Source organism: Homo sapiens, chromosome 2 (assembly GCF_000001405.40).
Source record: "Homo sapiens chromosome 2, GRCh38.p14 Primary Assembly".
In the NCBI taxonomy this organism is placed as follows: Eukaryota; Metazoa; Chordata; class Mammalia; order Primates; family Hominidae; genus Homo; species Homo sapiens.
The window spans coordinates 97,566,269-97,583,752 of NC_000002.12; the positions used below are offsets into that span (position 1 = coordinate 97,566,269).

A 17,484-nucleotide genomic window follows, 5' to 3' on the forward strand; every position below is an offset into this window, starting at 1 on the left:
CGAGATTGTGCCATTCCACTCCAGCCTGGGTGACAAAGTGAGACTTCATCTCAAAAGAAAAAAAAATCATGAACTTTTGTACATGCCTTAGACCTTATAGGAAAAAAAGTATAAGACTTTGATGCTTTATTACAGAGACTCTCATGATTTGTTACAAAGCAGTTCTTTAGAAACATACTTGGAGGCTATACTAAAATTATTATTTATACTATTTGTAGGCAACTAATGAATTAAGAACTCTTATTTCCTTTCTTACGTGCTTAGCATGTACTTATCAAATGCAAAGAAGAATATATTATCAAAATTTGGTTTATCTTACATGTGAATTGCAGTATAAAATAGTCATAATTCTAACAGAATTATATCAGACTGACAGAAAATGGCATCATTAGTAGAATCAATATAATGAGTAGGCATTGTCAAAGAACATGATTTCTGGACAAATGAACCAGGTGCAGCTAGAACAGCAGTCCCCCTTATCTGCTGTATGTGTAGAAAACACATATTCAACATGATGTTCCTCTTCTCTCACACCGCAACAACAATCATCAGCACAGAAGATTTCTGTGACCAAATATGTATTTTTCCCCAGCAACAAGCAAACAATCAATTCCTATGGGTGCCCTGTAATTCTGGCACTATCTACTTGGGGATTGTGTCAGATCCCACAGGTTGAGGGCTCAGTACCACAGGCTATTCCCCCACAGCAGTTACAAGTCTGGGCCTCCAGAACTTCTAATCAACTTCCAGTTGGACTTCAAGTTGGGTTTCCCAGGACCCCCTCTTTGGTTTGATTAATTTACTAGAGTGGCTCAGAGAACTCATGGAAACACATTTACCAGTTTTTTATAAAGAATATTAAAGGATACAGATAAAGAGATGCATAGTGCAAGATACGGGGGGAAAGTAACATGCTTCCATGTCCTCCCAGGGCACTCACCCTCTGGGAACATCCATGTATTCTCCATATGCCTTCATGTATTGGAGAGCATCCAGGTAGCTGAATACAGCTACCTGGATGCTCTCCAAATCCAATCCTTTTGGGATTTTATGAAAGCTTCATTACATAGGCATGACTGATTAATTGAACATTCAGCCCCTCTCACATCCCAGGAGGTGAGGGGTGGGGCTGGAAGTCCCAACCCTCTAATCACACCCTGATCACTATGATGATGAGCCCCACCCTGAAGCCATCTGGAGGCTGCCTGTCATAAGTCAATCATTAGCATACAAATGATATCATGTTGGAAATTCTGAGGATTTTAGGAGTTGTATGACAGAAAATGGGGTTGAAGACCAAATATATATTTCATAATATGACATTGGTGGTTTTATTGACTGCAGATTCAGTTACCCATGGTCAACCATGGTCCATAAATAAAATTTATGTATACACATCATAAGGTTTAAATTGCCTAAGATTCTGAGTAGTATGACAAAATTTGAGCCCTTACATCCCAGTCTGCCCAAGATGTGAATCGTCCCTTTGTCAAGTGCATACACATTATATATGATATCTGCTCACTAGTCATTGACATAAATCTGTACCTAACATCCAACCAACAATATCATCATGGTTCACGGATCCAAGATCACGTGAAGCAGATGATCTTCTTTCTGATATATAGTCAAATAGAAGGTCAATAGTAGCCTAAGACTACATGGCAATGCCTACTGCATTTGCCTCACTTATCACATAGCCATTTTATCATCTCACATCAGTGCAGAAAGTAGGGTGACTATAGTACATGATATTTTGTGAGCTCACATTCACATAACTTTTATTACAGTATATTGTTACAATTGATCTACTTTACCATTAGATATTATTAATCTCTTATTGTGCCTAATTTATGCATTAAATTTTATTATAGATATATATGTATTTTTAAAAATTATTGTACACATAGAGTTCAGCACTATTCATGTTTTCAGGCATTCACTAAGGGTCTTGAAATGTATCCCCCATGTGTAAGAGGAAATTACTGTACTTATTTTGTTGAAACACAACAGTTTCTCCACCTCTTCAGTTTAAACTATTTAGGATAAAGCACTCTAATTCAAAAAATCTAGGTCTATGAAAACTGTACTCTATTCTATGGCAAAACACAGGATACAGAGTAGGGTCAAGGATCCCTGCAAAGACTTTTCAGCTGCCAATGCAGAAGAGCCTAAGAGAGATCAGTGTCCTTACTCTCACTAATCCTCTCCTAGGGAAGATTCTGGTAAGTTTGCTTAGTTCTAGCTATTCATTCACCCTATGTAAGGTACAAACAATCCTTAAATTCAGCTTTCATTTTTAGCTCCTTCAAAAAAACACAAACAGAGAAAATATCACTCCCTTAACAGCTTATCCAATCTGAGTGTTGTTTCCTTGTCAGAGAGAAGCTTATAAAGAAATACTGGGAATGGTATGGCAAGTTGCCAGGGAGTACTTTCTAATATATAAAATATATATAAAGGAACCATAAACTCACTGGAGCTACCAAGATGTGCCAACAGTTGTCTCACTACCTAGTGGGAAAAACAACAACAACAACAACAAATCTTTGTCACTATATGTAAACAAAAATAGTATGACTCTCTTGGCATTTTTCATGATGGAGAACCTAGTTATAAGTGAGTCATGTTATAATAATATAGACTGTTTTCAAAGTGATCGCTCAAAGAAAGAAGGTGAATAAGAAACATATTTGTATGCCTATAGTATTCACTAGCTGGTCTATTTCCAACTGCAAGGTAAATAGGAAAGACTTTCTGACTCCAGTTTTATAAAGTACAACCTCTTGAGATTGTCCCTTTCCACTGCTAGTCTATCTGGACCCATCTCACAGAAAAGGATGATCCAGTTAGTGCTGTGTAGTACACAGCATGAAGTCATTTTCCTCAACCCTCCCCATTATGTGGCAAATGTCTATATAAATTATGCTTTTTCAACATGTAAAGCATATGCCATTAAATCCTACATTAATAAACTAAAAGCAAAAAAGCACAATGGATAGCTTAATTGAATACATTCAATTATCTTGGAAATTATGTTTTGTAATATTGAAAAAGATATCCACTATGTTATCCTTAATATATGACTATGCTGGACATATCAAAACTATGGGGACAGCAAAAATATTAGTAGTTGACAGGGGTTAATTGTGAGGGAGGAATAAAAAAAGAGACAAATTTCAGGGCAGTGTAAGTATTCTAATGGCGGGTACATTTATTATACATTTGTCCAGCTTTATAGAAGGTACAATACCAAGAGGGAACTTAAATATAAACTATGGACTTTGGATGATTATGATGCATCAATGTAAGCTTCTCAGTTGTAACAAATGTACCACTCAGGTGGGAGATGTTGAAAATGGGGGGAGCTATGAACGTGAGGGGGGATGGCGTATGTGAAAAATCTCTTTAGGTTCTTTTCAATATTGCTGAGAATATTAAACTGCTCTTAAAATAAAGTTGTTAATTTTTTAAAAAGATTTTCACTGAATCTTCTATTACTAATATATTGCTATATTATATTACCATATATTATAGCAAGACGTACTCAATTTGAAACACAATATAAATATTCTCTCCAGAATTATAGTATATAAAAGCACATAAAGCAAATAACTTAACTGTATTAACAGGCAAGAAAATAACTGATAAATGATTGATTTTTTTAATTTCATAATTATAAACAGAAATTTAACAAAATATAAAACAAAACTGAACCATCTACATAATTAAAATGAAACAAATTTTTTATTTCAATTTTAAATGAGAAATCATTACTTATTTTATCTAACCATTTTACTGAAAGGTTAATCGAATAAGAACAGATTATAATTACCTAATATTGCCATAGTAACTTCTGTACAGAGACCTGTTAAATATTCACCAAAATTCCAAAATCTAACAGCACAGAAACTTAGTATTTCATATTAAGTTGCAACTGACTCAAATGAAATAAGCACCATGCTATGTTATATTACCATGTTATTCACTATCAAATAGAATTTTTAAGACACCTAAAATTAAGTTGGGGCTGTAACTGCTGTGAAGAAAATAATTCATATAACAGTCATAAGACTGTCATTCTTAGAAAGGCCTACATGCAAAACTGGCCATTTGCTGGTGTTTGGAAATTTGCATTTTAAAGGTTTGTCACCATTTCCTGAGAAAAGTAGCTCACTGTACCTAAACTGTTTGCATAAACAATGTGGTTGACTCTGAACAGCTGCTTTTCTTCTGGAAGTGTGGAATTTTTGTATATGTGTGAGACAGCATGCCTATGTAACTAGCTTCCATAAGAACCTTGGATACTGTGTAAGTCTCTAGTCAGACTCATACTGGTAGACAATATTGCCCATGTGCTGTCAAAATTTGAAGCTACAGGAATTCAGCACATCCTGGTAACTCCACAGGAGAGGGCTCCCGGAAGCTTGTGCTTGGCTTCCCCAAGACTTGCCACATGCCCCTTTGCCCTGAGCCAATTTTACTTTGTATTCTTTCACTGTAACAAATCAAAGCCCAGAGTAGGACTGTTTGCTGAGTCCTTCCAAGTGAATCACCAAACACAGAGGTGGTCTTGGAAACTCTGACATAGTGGCATTATATGAAATTAGTTTTCTTTAAGGTGATGTGACCTGTGACTACGATCAGAAGGCTGTTTATAAAACACCTTTCCCTCATCTGTTTTCCTTAACAGTTGCCTTTGAGATTCCTGTATTTCTGCATGAATAAATCCATAAGGGAACAGAAATAATTATGCCAAAAAATGATGAAAAACAAGCAGCAATCCTATTTTAACCAGAATAAAAATTTGAGAATATGGATGATTAAAAATATATCCCATAGTATGAAAGCTTCTAGAAGAGAAACAAAAAGATCACAGCCAATTGTCTTCAACTCACCAAGGTTTCTTTTATAATAATTGGGGATCAGGCCAGGTGCAATGACACGCACCTGTAGTCCCAACTACTCCAACGGCTGAGGCAGGAAGATTGCTTGAGATCAAAAGTTTGAGGCTGCAGTGGAGATTGTGCCTGTGAACAACCATTGCACTCCAGCCTGGGAAACAGAGTGAGACCCTGTCTCTAAAATGCATTAGTAGGCTGGGGGCGGTGCCTTACACCTATAATCCAAACACTTTGGGAGGCTGGGGCGGGCGGATCACAAGGTCAGGAGATGGAGACCATCCTGGCTAACACAGTGAAACCGCATCTCTACTAAAAATATAAAAATTAGCTGGGCGTGGTGGTGCATGCCTGTAGTCCCAGCTACCTGGGAGGCTGAGGCAGGAGAAGCGTTTGAACCCAGGAGGCAGAGTTTGCAGTGAGCCGAGATTGCGCCACTGCACTCCAGCCTGGGCAACAGAGCGAGACTCAGTCTCAAAAAAAAATCTATTAATAAAAACATAAGTAAAATAATTTGCATCATTCAGGTCATTGTGATAATTATAGAAATATATGTAGCCATTGGATATAATACTTACTATCAATCATAGAGCTCATTTAATTTGTTTCTAATCTTTTTTCTTAAGTTCTTATAAAACTAAAAATATCTATAAAAACTAAAAATCATCTGTTAAGGGCCGTTCTTCATAGAACAGGTCAAAAAGTCAAAAACTGCATTTAAAATGTAGGATGAGTTATCCACTTCTCCTCCCAAACAGTGGGTTTTTCTTATTAAGGGCCAATAGGACTTTAAACTCCCTTTGGAGAATAAAGGAAGTTATAGACCAGCACGATGGCTCATGACCATAATTCCAGCACTTTGGGAGGCTGAGGCAGGAGGATCACTTGAAGCCAAAAGTTTGAGACTGGCCTGGGCAAAAGAGAGAGACCTTTGTCTTTAAAAAATAAAAAATAAAAAAGTTAGCTTGGTATGGTGGCATATACTTGTAGCAGTCTCAATGACTTAGGAGGCCGAGGTAGGAGGACCACCTGAACCCAGAAGTTTGAGGCTGCAGTGAGCTATGATCACACTATTGTACTCCAGCCTGGGAAACAGCAAAAGACTCAATCTCAAAAAAAAAAAAAAATCAAGAAACTTATATATAGATGGTTAAAGGTGTGGTAATCCAACTGACCAAATATTCCAGCTAAGTAACAGATTACCAATATTTGAAGAAATATAATACCAGAAAAGTGTTTTACATTAAAACTATGTCGTTTGAAAATTTAGAATTTAAAATTTAAAATTTAAAAAAATTTAAAAGACACCTTAAGTGTCTTAACTTAATTTGAAAATTTAAAAGACATTTAAAGTTTGAAAATTTAAAAGAAACTTAAAATCTTAAAGGAGCAGCATCACTTACACTGTCACTGTGCTAAAGATATAAAGAAGTTTAGCATTAAAGATTAATAGAATACCAGATATACTTTAGAATAGGTAGCTAATTCTCTTAAAAGAAAATCCTATATAGTTGTCAAAAATACCTGTGTTAGAAATGTGTTCTAATAATATTTTCTTTAGGGACGAAATTAAAAAAAAAAACAGTAAAAGCAGAGATATTACAAGAGGTCATGAAAAGGGAATTGCACTAAAACAAAGTGTCCCAGAACACAGAGACTTGGTATACTTAGCATGTCACCTTATATTTTTCTCCATGACATTATATAAAAGACGTCAGCTTCTCCAAACTGCTCGTCTGTAGGCTACTTCTTTTTTTTTTTTTTTATACTTTTAGAGTACATGTGCACAAAGTGCAGGTTTGTTACATATGTATACATGTGCCATATTGGTGTGCTGCACCCATTAACTCATCATTTAGCATTAGGTAGATCTCCTAATGCTATCCCTCCCCACTCCCCCCACCCCACAACAGTCCCCGGTGGGTGATGTTCCCCTTCCTGTGTCCATGTGTTCTCATTGTTCAATTCCCAGCTATGAGTGACAACATGCGGTGTTTCGTTTTTTGTCCTTGCCATAATTTGCTGAGAATGATGGTTTCCAGCTTCATCCATGTCCCTACAAAGGACATGAACTCATCATTTCTTATGGCTGCATAGTATTCCATGGTGTATATGTGCCACATTTTCTTAATCCAGTCTATCATTGTTGGACATTTGGGTTGGTTCCATGTCTTTGCTATTGTGAATAGCTACAAACCACTGCTCAATGAAATAAAAGAGGATACAAACAAATGGAAGAACATTCCATGCTCATGGATAGGAAGAATCAATATCATGAAAATGGCCATACTGCCCAAGGTAATTTATAGATTCAATGCCATCCCCATCAAGCTATCAATGACTTTCTTCACAGAATTGGAAAAAACTACTTTAAAGTTCATATGGAACCAAAAAAGAGCCCACATCACCAAGTCAATCCTAAGCCAAAAGAATAAAGCTGGAGGCATCACGCTACCTGACTTCAAACTATACTACAAGGCTAGAGTAACCAAAACAGCATGGTACTGGTACCGAAATGGAGATATAGACCAATGGAACAGAACAGAGCCATCAGAAATAATGCTGCATGTCTACAACTATCGATCTTTGACAAACCTGAGAAAAACAAGCAATGGGGAAAGGATTCCCTATTTAATAAATGGTGCTGGGAAAACTGGCTAGCCATATGTAGAAAGCTGAAACTGGATCCCTTCCTTACATCTTATACAAAAATTAATTCAAGATGGATTAAAGACTTACATGTTAGACCTAAAACCATAAAAACCCTAAAAGAAAACCTAGGCAATACCATTCAGGACATAGGCATGGGCAAGGACTTCATGTCTAAAACACCAAAAGCAATGGCAACAAAAGCCAAAATTGACACATGGGATCTAATTAAACTAAAGAGCTTCTGCACAGCAAAAGAAACTACCATCAGAGTGAACAGGCAACCTACGGAATGGGAGAAAATTTTTGCAACTTACTCATCTGACAAAGGGCTAATATCCAGAATCTACAAAGAGCTCAAACAAATTTACAAGAAAAAAACAAACAACCCCATCAAAAAGTGGGCAAAGGATATGAACAGACACTTCTCAAAAGAAGACATTTATGCAGCCAAAAAACACATGAAAAAATGCTCATCATCACTGGCCATCAGAGAAATGCAAATCAAAACCACAGTGAGATACCATCTCACACCAGTTAGAATGGCAATCATTAAAACGTCAGGAAACAACAGGTGCTGGAGAGGATGTGGAGAAATAGGAACACTTTTACACTGTTGGTGGGACTGTAAACTAGTTCAACCATTGTGGAAGTCAGTGTGGCGATTCCTCAGGGATCTAGAACTAGAAATAGCATTTGACCCAGCCATCCCGTTACTGGGTATACACCCAAAGGATTATAAATCATGCTGCTATAAAGACACATGCACATGTCTGTAGACTACTTCTGATTGAAACTTGAAACTCTCGAAATGCGGCTGTGTTATGATTCCATGTTGGAGAGAGTCGGGATGTATGTGCTTTGGACAAGGTGGTTCCAGTTACTGCTGCCAGACTTTTGTTTCAGAATGCATCCAGAAGAACTTATCAGGGATTTCAGTACAAACTAAGTATTTCCACAAGGAGCAGATAAGAAGACCACAGTTTTTCTCACACATTACCCTTAGGTTTTGACAATTCTGTAAAAGTGTGGGCACATGTACTCAGAAGTCAAGACCATTTTCCCTGACCCTGTGCACGTAGCTTCTGCAGTTACAAAAGGGTTACGCAGGATCTTGGTAGATTTGTTCCTCCATATTTGGACAACAGACATACCAATCACATCAATAGCCCACATTACACCTCAAAAATGGTTCTTTTGAAAAGGGTACCGCCAAAGAGCTTTTAAAAGTTAAATCTAATTGGCTTTTGAGTAATCTTACTTGTTAGAATTCATACTCCCTCCTTAAAATTCTCACTTTTTTTATTTTTGCAACATCACTTCCTCTGACTCCTCTCCTACTTTTCTCTAGCCACTGCTCATTCTCCTTCACCAACTCTTTTTTTCCTGGGGGTGGGGAGGGAAAGTTGACATTCCCAGGGTTTTGTCACAGGATAGCTTCTCATTCTACATCTGCATCATGGACAGCTCATTGAGATCGATGACTTTGCCTAATAATTATAATAACATCATTCTACGTCTGCATCTCCAACCTCAGATTTGGAGGGAAGGGAAGTTATTCTTCCCTGTTGACCAGCTGTACTTCTCCATTCAGTGAACACGTCCTACTCCTTTCTTGTGTGCAGTATAAAGGCCAGTACACAACCTGGAAACCTATGAATGATCCAAGATTTCTCTCTCCCCACTAATGTTTTACATTCAATGTTCACTAAATCATATTAACTGTACCTCTTTTCTGCTTCTGCTTTATATTTCTACTGCCACCAAATAAATATGTTTATATTTCCTAGATCAACATGGCCTCTTCACTGATGGTTTTCACAGGAAAAGATCCCTATCAACTATTATTGTTTTTTTATAAATAAAAAATTAAGTAAAACAAATAAAGAAGGCATACAGGCAAGAAAAAGACCAACATTTTAAAATGAGTAAATGGAGTAAATTTACTTTATTTTACCGTGGATGGGTGAACACCTTACACTAGATTGATAGTAGTTCAAGCATCGAACTACAAGGAAACTACAGCTTTAACTACTGCAAAATCTTCCTTTCTCTAGCTTACTTTCTTGTACTCAGAATACAATATATAATATATATAACATACCAAATATGTATTTTCAACAGCATGGGGATTGGCAGCACTAAATCCCATGTTGTTCAAGGGCCAACTGTAATTATTGATTCATTTAGTAATTGCAAAGAATTTATTTTACAAATTAAATAGAAGTTCTAATTATATAAAAAGTCTAATTCATTATCATGTGACTATTAAAAAAATACAACATAATAACTTAAAAATTTGTTTTCTTATTTACACAAAAAGGTCATCTAGAATACTAGGAACGATAATTAAATAATAATTTTTTTCAAACAATACTGAGATTATAAATTACCTACAATTAACTTTTTAAATAATTATAAAATCTAGACTACTAAGTATTTTTTAAATGTGTACAATTTAAAGTGATTTTTTTAAACTGCTTTTTTGTAATCAAAACATCTTTATTCTTTTTTATCTATGGTAGTACCATCAAGAGTAATTCACTATCAGAAATCTCACCTGGATTGCTATTTATAGGAAGATCTTCATATCTCTTTCTTTTGTATTCATAAATTAGATCAAAAATGCTATGCATAAAAATAAATGAAATTAATATTTTAATACTATTATCAAAAACATTTACCAAATATACTAAATTATTAGAGTATCTTGAACAATATCAGGATGTTAATTATCCTATACACTTCTCTTTTGTAAGCTCTACAAACTTCTTAGTACCTTTCTAATTAAATAATAAAAACAGGTGAAGTACTCATGAAGTGAAGGCAGTATAGCTCAGCAAACTATCTCACATCAGCTTGACATAATGGAAAGTCACCTTCCTGGCTCTTACTGGAAGGTCCTGGCTCTATAGCCAACAGGTATTTGCTCTTAAACAAGTTGCTTCTCTTAGGCACAATGTCTTCTTCTAGATTTTACTACCTTCTTTCACTAGGTTGTTATATAGGTTTAATGAAGCAGCATTTTTAACATTCACAGAGAAATAGTAAAGCAGTGGAGCTTGTTCTTGAACTTTATCGCTGAAACTATTTTGAAATCCCAAATCAAACCCAATGTGTATTTTTTCATAGGTTCTAATATTCAAATGCTTCAGTTTAAGAAAAATGTTAAGTCCTAATTTTGCTTATTGTTCTATTATTTCTGGCTTATAATTCAGTGTATCTCAACTATTTCATAATTCATAAATAAATTAATTTATGAATATATTATTTCATTAAAATAGGTAACACGATTGTTAACTATTATTGAGCTCATCAATTCCAAGGGCAGAAAACTAACAGATGTCAAGATCTGGCTTGGGCTACCACTATTACTTCTCTACAGACTCTAACTGAATGAGCAGATGTTTGCTAGAATGATGGTTCATCTCCATCAGTGATGTTATCTCCAACTGACATGGAAGACAAAACCCTACTTTCATTTTTTTTAAGTTCCATGAAGTAGATGCAAGTTGACATTTTCTCATTTCCAAGATACATACTAACAAAATATTTACACAACACCCCATGTGTTACTTATCTCCATTCTCAGTTTATAGATCACCTTACACAAATGTTTTTGTAGTGAAAAATCACAATTCTAATATAAGGGGCCACCCATTTTGTTTTGATTCAAACTATGACTTAGCTAGCCAGCAAACAGTCAAATGACCTTCCCGTGACTGCAAAATATGAAATGCTTCACCATGCTAATTTTCTCCGTATTGTTCCAATTTTAGTATTTGTGCTGCCAAAGCAAGCACAAAGCCTTACTTTTACATATAACTGCTGATAAGTCATGGATGAGGGTTAGCTCTGTTAAATCTAACTAACAAACTTGAGACTCAGATAATTCCAATGAATGGCTTCCTGTGAAATAGAATCCGAAAATATTTTATAAACTTGAGATACTGATGCAAGCAGCTTGAGAGATCTTCATTATTATAGATAACAGATCACTTGAGGGGCCAACCACAAGTTGATGCCTACTACTCTAAGGAAGGATGGCATAGAAGCTTCCACTACCTGAGAAAAGCTCTTACGCTGTTTATATAAAAAGTCTCAGGGTACAGATCTGGTAGCAATAAAGAAGAACACTGTGATCTCTTTCTACAACATTATTTGAATATCTCTGACAGTTTAGAACTATCCTAACTAATATTTGCTTTAAAGAGAAAAAAAAGGGACTCAAAAAATAACTCACCATGAAGGTCTAGAAGCCCAGGTTAAAATGTGGGCTTTACATCAGGTTTTGAGTGTGGGTGAAAGTGTCAATTTGCTCCGTATGTGTGTTGATAAAGTTAGAATATCCAGCTAACAGAGCAAGGTTCTGCTGTTTTGGAAACAATGGCTGAGCATATAAGTATGTGCAACTGAACTAAAAAAAACAGTTGTAACTTTGAAGCCTTTTTATGGATCAACATGAAGATTGAGGGATCTCAAACAGAAAGGGCATGCTGGTAGCAAAGGTTAATCACTACCAGACTGCAAGAGTACTTTCAATGGTAAGAAAGCAGCAACAGAATCAATGAAAACAAAGCAATGATTAGAATGTCCTTTCCCCTTCTCCTTCTGACTTGTAGACACTGATTGTCTTCCTTGGACTTAGGGAACCCCTTAGGTTCTTGAAAAATTCCATGATCAGGCTATAGTAGATGGTCCCCAGTACACAACTCAAGGTTTTTTGATAAACTGGACATTTTGAGACCCAAATAACTAATTAGAAAAATCAAAGATGTGAAACTACTTTACCCTATGCATAGGGGTTATACTGGAAATAAAATGGACAACATTGGAATCCCTAAGGAGAAAAGTCCTGAAAGTTTCAATATCAAGAATCTTGCACCTACTGCTACTTATCTAGCCTTTTTCTTGATTTCTGGCTGATGAAGTTGCACAACTCTCGAAAACTTAAAAACTTGAAAATTTGTCACTTGAAAACTACTTGAACCAAACTATGCAATCTCACCTGATATATAAGATGCAATTGTTACAATTATTTTAAACTTCAATTTAGTGTTCATTAGCCTTTTTACGTAAAGACTTACACTCTATTCTCAGCCTCACTGGCATAATCTTCTGCAAGCTTTCCATACACATCTCGAGAAAACACATCAATATTGTGCTGCAGAAGAAGAATGACTATATCTTTTTCTCCAAGAGTAACAGCAAGTATGAGGGCTGATCTAAAATAACAGAGAGGTAATTAAAAACTTTAATGACATTTTAAAAGCTAAGTTTATATACTTTATCAACTTAACATGTTGCCTGTCCATGTAGAATTAACCCAATTACATGTACTAAGAAACAAGCATCTTGGGTGCTCAAGGGTTTATCTTTGCAAGTTACCACAAAGGTTAAAAGCAAGGAACAAAAAGGAAGCCTCTTGTCCCACTGTGGTATGACATAAAGTTGCTAACTTAAAGTCCTTTGATGGGCAAGAAATATGCTCAGGCCACCTATCTACAGTAGGCAAATTTAAGTGAAAAATTATTCATTTCTTCCCTAGTCTGATACTATACATTATAATGCAAAATCAGCTGAAGGGTCAGATAAGAGCTATCTGCAGGCTTAAAACAATAATATTAATAGGAATGCTAATAGTAGTAGTCATAGCTTCAGTTAATGATGCTCATAAGCATGTGCTAGGCATTTAATTAAACACTATATATATATATATATGGAGGATAATAATATATCCTTCAAGGGTGGTTGTGTATAAGTAATATCACATATATATAAAATATATATAGTATATTATATATAATCTATAAAATATATAATATATAGTATATTATATATTATCTATAAATATATATTGTATATATTATATATTATATATGATGTTAGTTACATTATATTCTTACATACATATGTGTGTATATATATTATATGCACATACTTATATGCTCAGCCATTGTTTCCAAAACATCAGCACCTTGCTCTGTTAGCTGGACATTCTAACATTATATATATATAATGTTACTTACACACAACCACCCTTGAAGGATATATTATTACCCTCCTTTTCACAGAAGAAAACATACTTGGTAAGTAATGTTACCAAGGTCACACATCTAGCAAGTGGGAAAGCTAGGGATTAAACCCAGTCCTGTGTGAACCTAAAGCTTGTCTTCATTGAAGTAAAGTTTTATCCATCTAAAGCTATCTTTTTTCCCCCTCCCCATATCAATTAAAAACAACATCAAAACACAGTAGAAATGAAAAACTAACATGAAACCCCTTTAGCTAATGTAAGATCATACAATCAAAAGCATCACATTATTACATTGTAAATAACACCACATCATCTTACAAATAACAAACATCTATCAATATACAGAGCTTTCTATATATAGAAGCCTTTTATGTGTATAATGTCTATAGAGAGAGATGAATCCTGCTATACACTGTTCTTTATGTTACTCAGTCCAAATAATTGTTTTTCTACCTAAGTGATGATCTGTGTTGATATTTCTCACTATATCCCAGTAATTAAAAGTTAGTCTTCTTACTAATGTAATATTTGTGACTTGAGTGACTGCTACCACTCTAAAATGACACTCAGGTTTAAAAACAACACAATAAGAACTAAGGTCTGTACCTGCCAAGATAATCAATGGCATTTACATTTGCTTTTTTCTTTAATAAAAATTCCACCATTTTCACTTTTCTTCGACTCACAGCAAGTAACAGTGGCTGATATTCATTCTGTAAAATAACAGCAACAATTTATAATCACAAAATTACATATTTATCAACTGAAATGAAAACCTTATGTAAGATCCTGTGAGCTTCAATATATACAATTGAAAGGTCGTAAGAGGTAGTCCCTTTCTTTTCCCTCCTCGGTGCTTTTCTATGTTCTGCTCCTTCCCCTGGAAACAACCTCCTCTGCCTCACCACAAGAACTCTGGTCATCTCCAAAACTCACTTCAAACATTTCCCAGTTCCAAGAATCTTTGCTTCTGTCCCAGCATTTAGCATGGCATGTTTCAAGGATTTAATTGTTTCCCACCTGAACCAAGAGCTTCTTGAGGGCAGCAGCTGTATTTTTTTCTCTATGTCCTCAAACTCTAAGACACAGTAATAAATGTTTCAGGTATTTTTATTAATGATCTAAATTATTATCTATAGAGCGGTGTTTCTTAAACTATTAATATATTCCAAAGGATATTTACTTTACCAGAATTTGAACATTATACCCCAAAAGAGAGACTCCATGATCACCCATGTTTGAAAAATGTTACAAAACTGTGCATTATGTGTCTAGTATTTGAGAAATCTTTTGAACTTCACCTAATCCCTATTTGTAAATACTTATTTTGGAGAATGTTAACATTTGAGAAATGAGAGTTTCAGGGATACAGTTGTGAGAGCTTACCAGTAAAGGTAGAGGTTTCCTCTGGGTGATACACACTTGCCTCATTCTCTTCTATCGATGGTGTGAGAATCTCAGGTGACAATGTCAGGAGCTCCTGAGCACCTGAGCACCTGACATTGTCATCTGAGATTCTGACACGATTGACAGTTCATTTGAAGCCTATCTCTTTTTAATTCGGAGAGCCGGGCTCTGAATTAATAGAGATAGGCTTCGAGTGAACTTTCACTGCTTATTATTAAATAGTCCATGGGTTTTCTCTAGTAATATTTTTATCTTAGCTGTCAGAAAGCTCTGTATGAAATGTTATTCTCAATTACAATCTTAGGACCCTGATGCAAATATTTATGTAATTATAATCTTAGGACCCTGGTACATAACTCCTTTAAAAATCTATTTGTATTCTAGTTTCCAATTCATTCTTACCTAACTTATTTTATTTTAGGTAAAATATCAATCAGAAATAAAAATACAATGGCTTATCAATTAAAGCTCTAATAATGACCTATATGAATTATTTATAGCATAATGAAAACCACTAAATTATTTGCATCATTTATTTATTTATTTATTTATTTATTTGAGATGGAGTCTCGCTCTGTCACCCAGGCTGGAGTGCAGTGGTGCCATCTCGGCTCACTGCAACCTCCGCCTCCCGGATTCAAGCACGAGAAATTCTCCTGCCTCAGCCTCCCGAGTAGCTGGGACTACAGGCGTGTGCCACCACACCCAGCTAATTTTTTGTATTTGTAGTAGAGAGGGGGTTTCACCGTGTTAGCCAGGATGGTCTCAATCTTCTGACCTCGTGATCTACCTGCCTCTGCCTCCCAAAGTGCTAGGATTACAGGCGTGAGCCACTGCGCTCGGCCAATTACTTGCATTTTTAGGAGGCAATGCTGAAGAGAAAAATATAATGTTGTCTGCAATATGCATAACCTATGCAACTATACCATGATTCACCTTAAAAAGCTTACATGCATTCTAATGGGAAGATGATTATTTATGGTATGTATAAATAGTTTATAAAACACCACCATCTAAATTCAAAAGTTCAACCCGATTACCAAAGGATTTATATAAAATATAGACTCTACATTTAAATAAATATAAAATGTCTTGAAAACCTTGAAATATTTACTAAAATATATTATAAAACAGGGCTTGTAAAGTCATCCCTACAGAGGCAAGGGAGATGACCTGAGGAAGTGAAGTACCTAGGTAGGCACAGTAGCAAAATGGAGACCACATGCCTCATAGAAAGGGGCAACCTCTGCACAGCATCCAAAACCTGAGATAGGCTCAAGGGACACCAGATTGGATTCTTGAAGAGAAGCTTGGAATCCAGATCTGTGCACGAGTCTCCTAAACCTTCCATGTTGAGACAATTTGTAGACGCAAACTAAACACATGTATGGGACACATTTGGACTATATACCTTGTATTTTTATATTTGCTATGGATATGTCTCCAAGCGATTGTATGTAAAGCAAGTATTTTCATGTAAAATACTTCCTTTCTTTAGTTTCAGATTTTTTTTCCAAAATAGGCCCAAGAATGCAATAAAAATTGTTACTAAGAGTCATAATACCCACTTTGAGCACTTTTACAACATTCATTCATTTATAATTTATGTTTAATTTTCCCAGATTGTTCACCAAATGGATAATTAGTTCATAGGACTGCTGCAACTAAATTATTAAAATAATATTAAATTATAATTCTAGTTTCTATATTGTAACCTAATTTTTTTTATTTTAGGTAAAATATAAATCAGAAATAAAAATACAATGGCTTATCAATTAAAGCTCTAATAATGACCTATATGTATTCTTTGTATTCTTACTAACTTCATGGTTTTCAGTGTTTAAAACTGCTATCCTGATTATGCCACAGTTCTATGTACTTAACTGACATACTGAGGCAGTCCATAATAGAGCTTCAGCTTTAAAAAAAGGTTTAGAATTTTTTGCTATTGTAATTGAGAGAACCCCGCTTTTAATAATGATGTATTGACCTAATCACCAGAATGATAACAAAGAGACTCAGAGTCCTGAAAGAGTCAGTCTCTACTTATTAAAAGAGTCCACAATAGCAAATTTCTAATGACCCTATGAATGGCAGTGAATAAGTGATGGTGGCAAAGAAAAGGTGTTATTCTTATGCTGATAGATACTGCAAATAATAGTCCTTTCCACTTCCCAACCACAGAGGTAGAGACAGGTAAAAGTCAGGCCAATATTATTGGAAAGGAGAAATTTAAAGGAAGCAGCACCTATCTCCAGCTCTTCTAGAGATTTTTTGTGTGTTTGAGATATGGGAATTTATATTACACTTATCTATTCAGTGGTTCTTAACCAGCAGCGTATCAGTGTCCCAAGAAATGTTTTATTGTTGTTGTTGTTGTTGTGTTGTTGCTGTTAGAGGCAGTGTCTTAATCTGTTGCTCTGGCTAGAGGCACCACCATGCCCAGCTTCAAGGAAATATTTTAAAACATACATGCCCAGTAATATTTAA

General features: G+C 35.3%; 1 protein-coding gene across 22 annotated transcripts in view; it reads right to left on the bottom strand.

Moving 5' to 3' along the window:
- The window catches only part of ANKRD36B (ankyrin repeat domain 36B), a 97,215-nt gene that overhangs the window by 73,606 nt on the left and 6,125 nt on the right, over window positions 1-17,484 (bottom strand). For 17 of the 22 annotated variants that reach the window (XR_007078917.1, XM_047445323.1, XM_047445324.1 and 14 more), the window contains exons 4-6: window positions 14,194-14,300; window positions 12,638-12,775; window positions 10,111-10,178 (exon numbers count right to left, since the gene is read on the bottom strand). The exons of 1 other annotated variant lie outside the window; for it this stretch is intronic. Coding sequence is in view for 20 of the 21 variants with exons in the window: in XM_047445323.1 (XP_047301279.1) it covers window positions 10,111-10,178; window positions 12,638-12,775; window positions 14,194-14,300 (313 nt within the window). In the remaining variant the exon portion in view is untranslated. Of the gene's footprint in view, window positions 1-10,110; window positions 10,179-12,637; window positions 12,776-14,193; window positions 14,301-17,484 lie in introns of those variants that run through there. 4 more of the 22 variants (XM_047445328.1, XM_047445331.1, XM_047445335.1 and 1 more) reach the window with 4 other exon arrangements.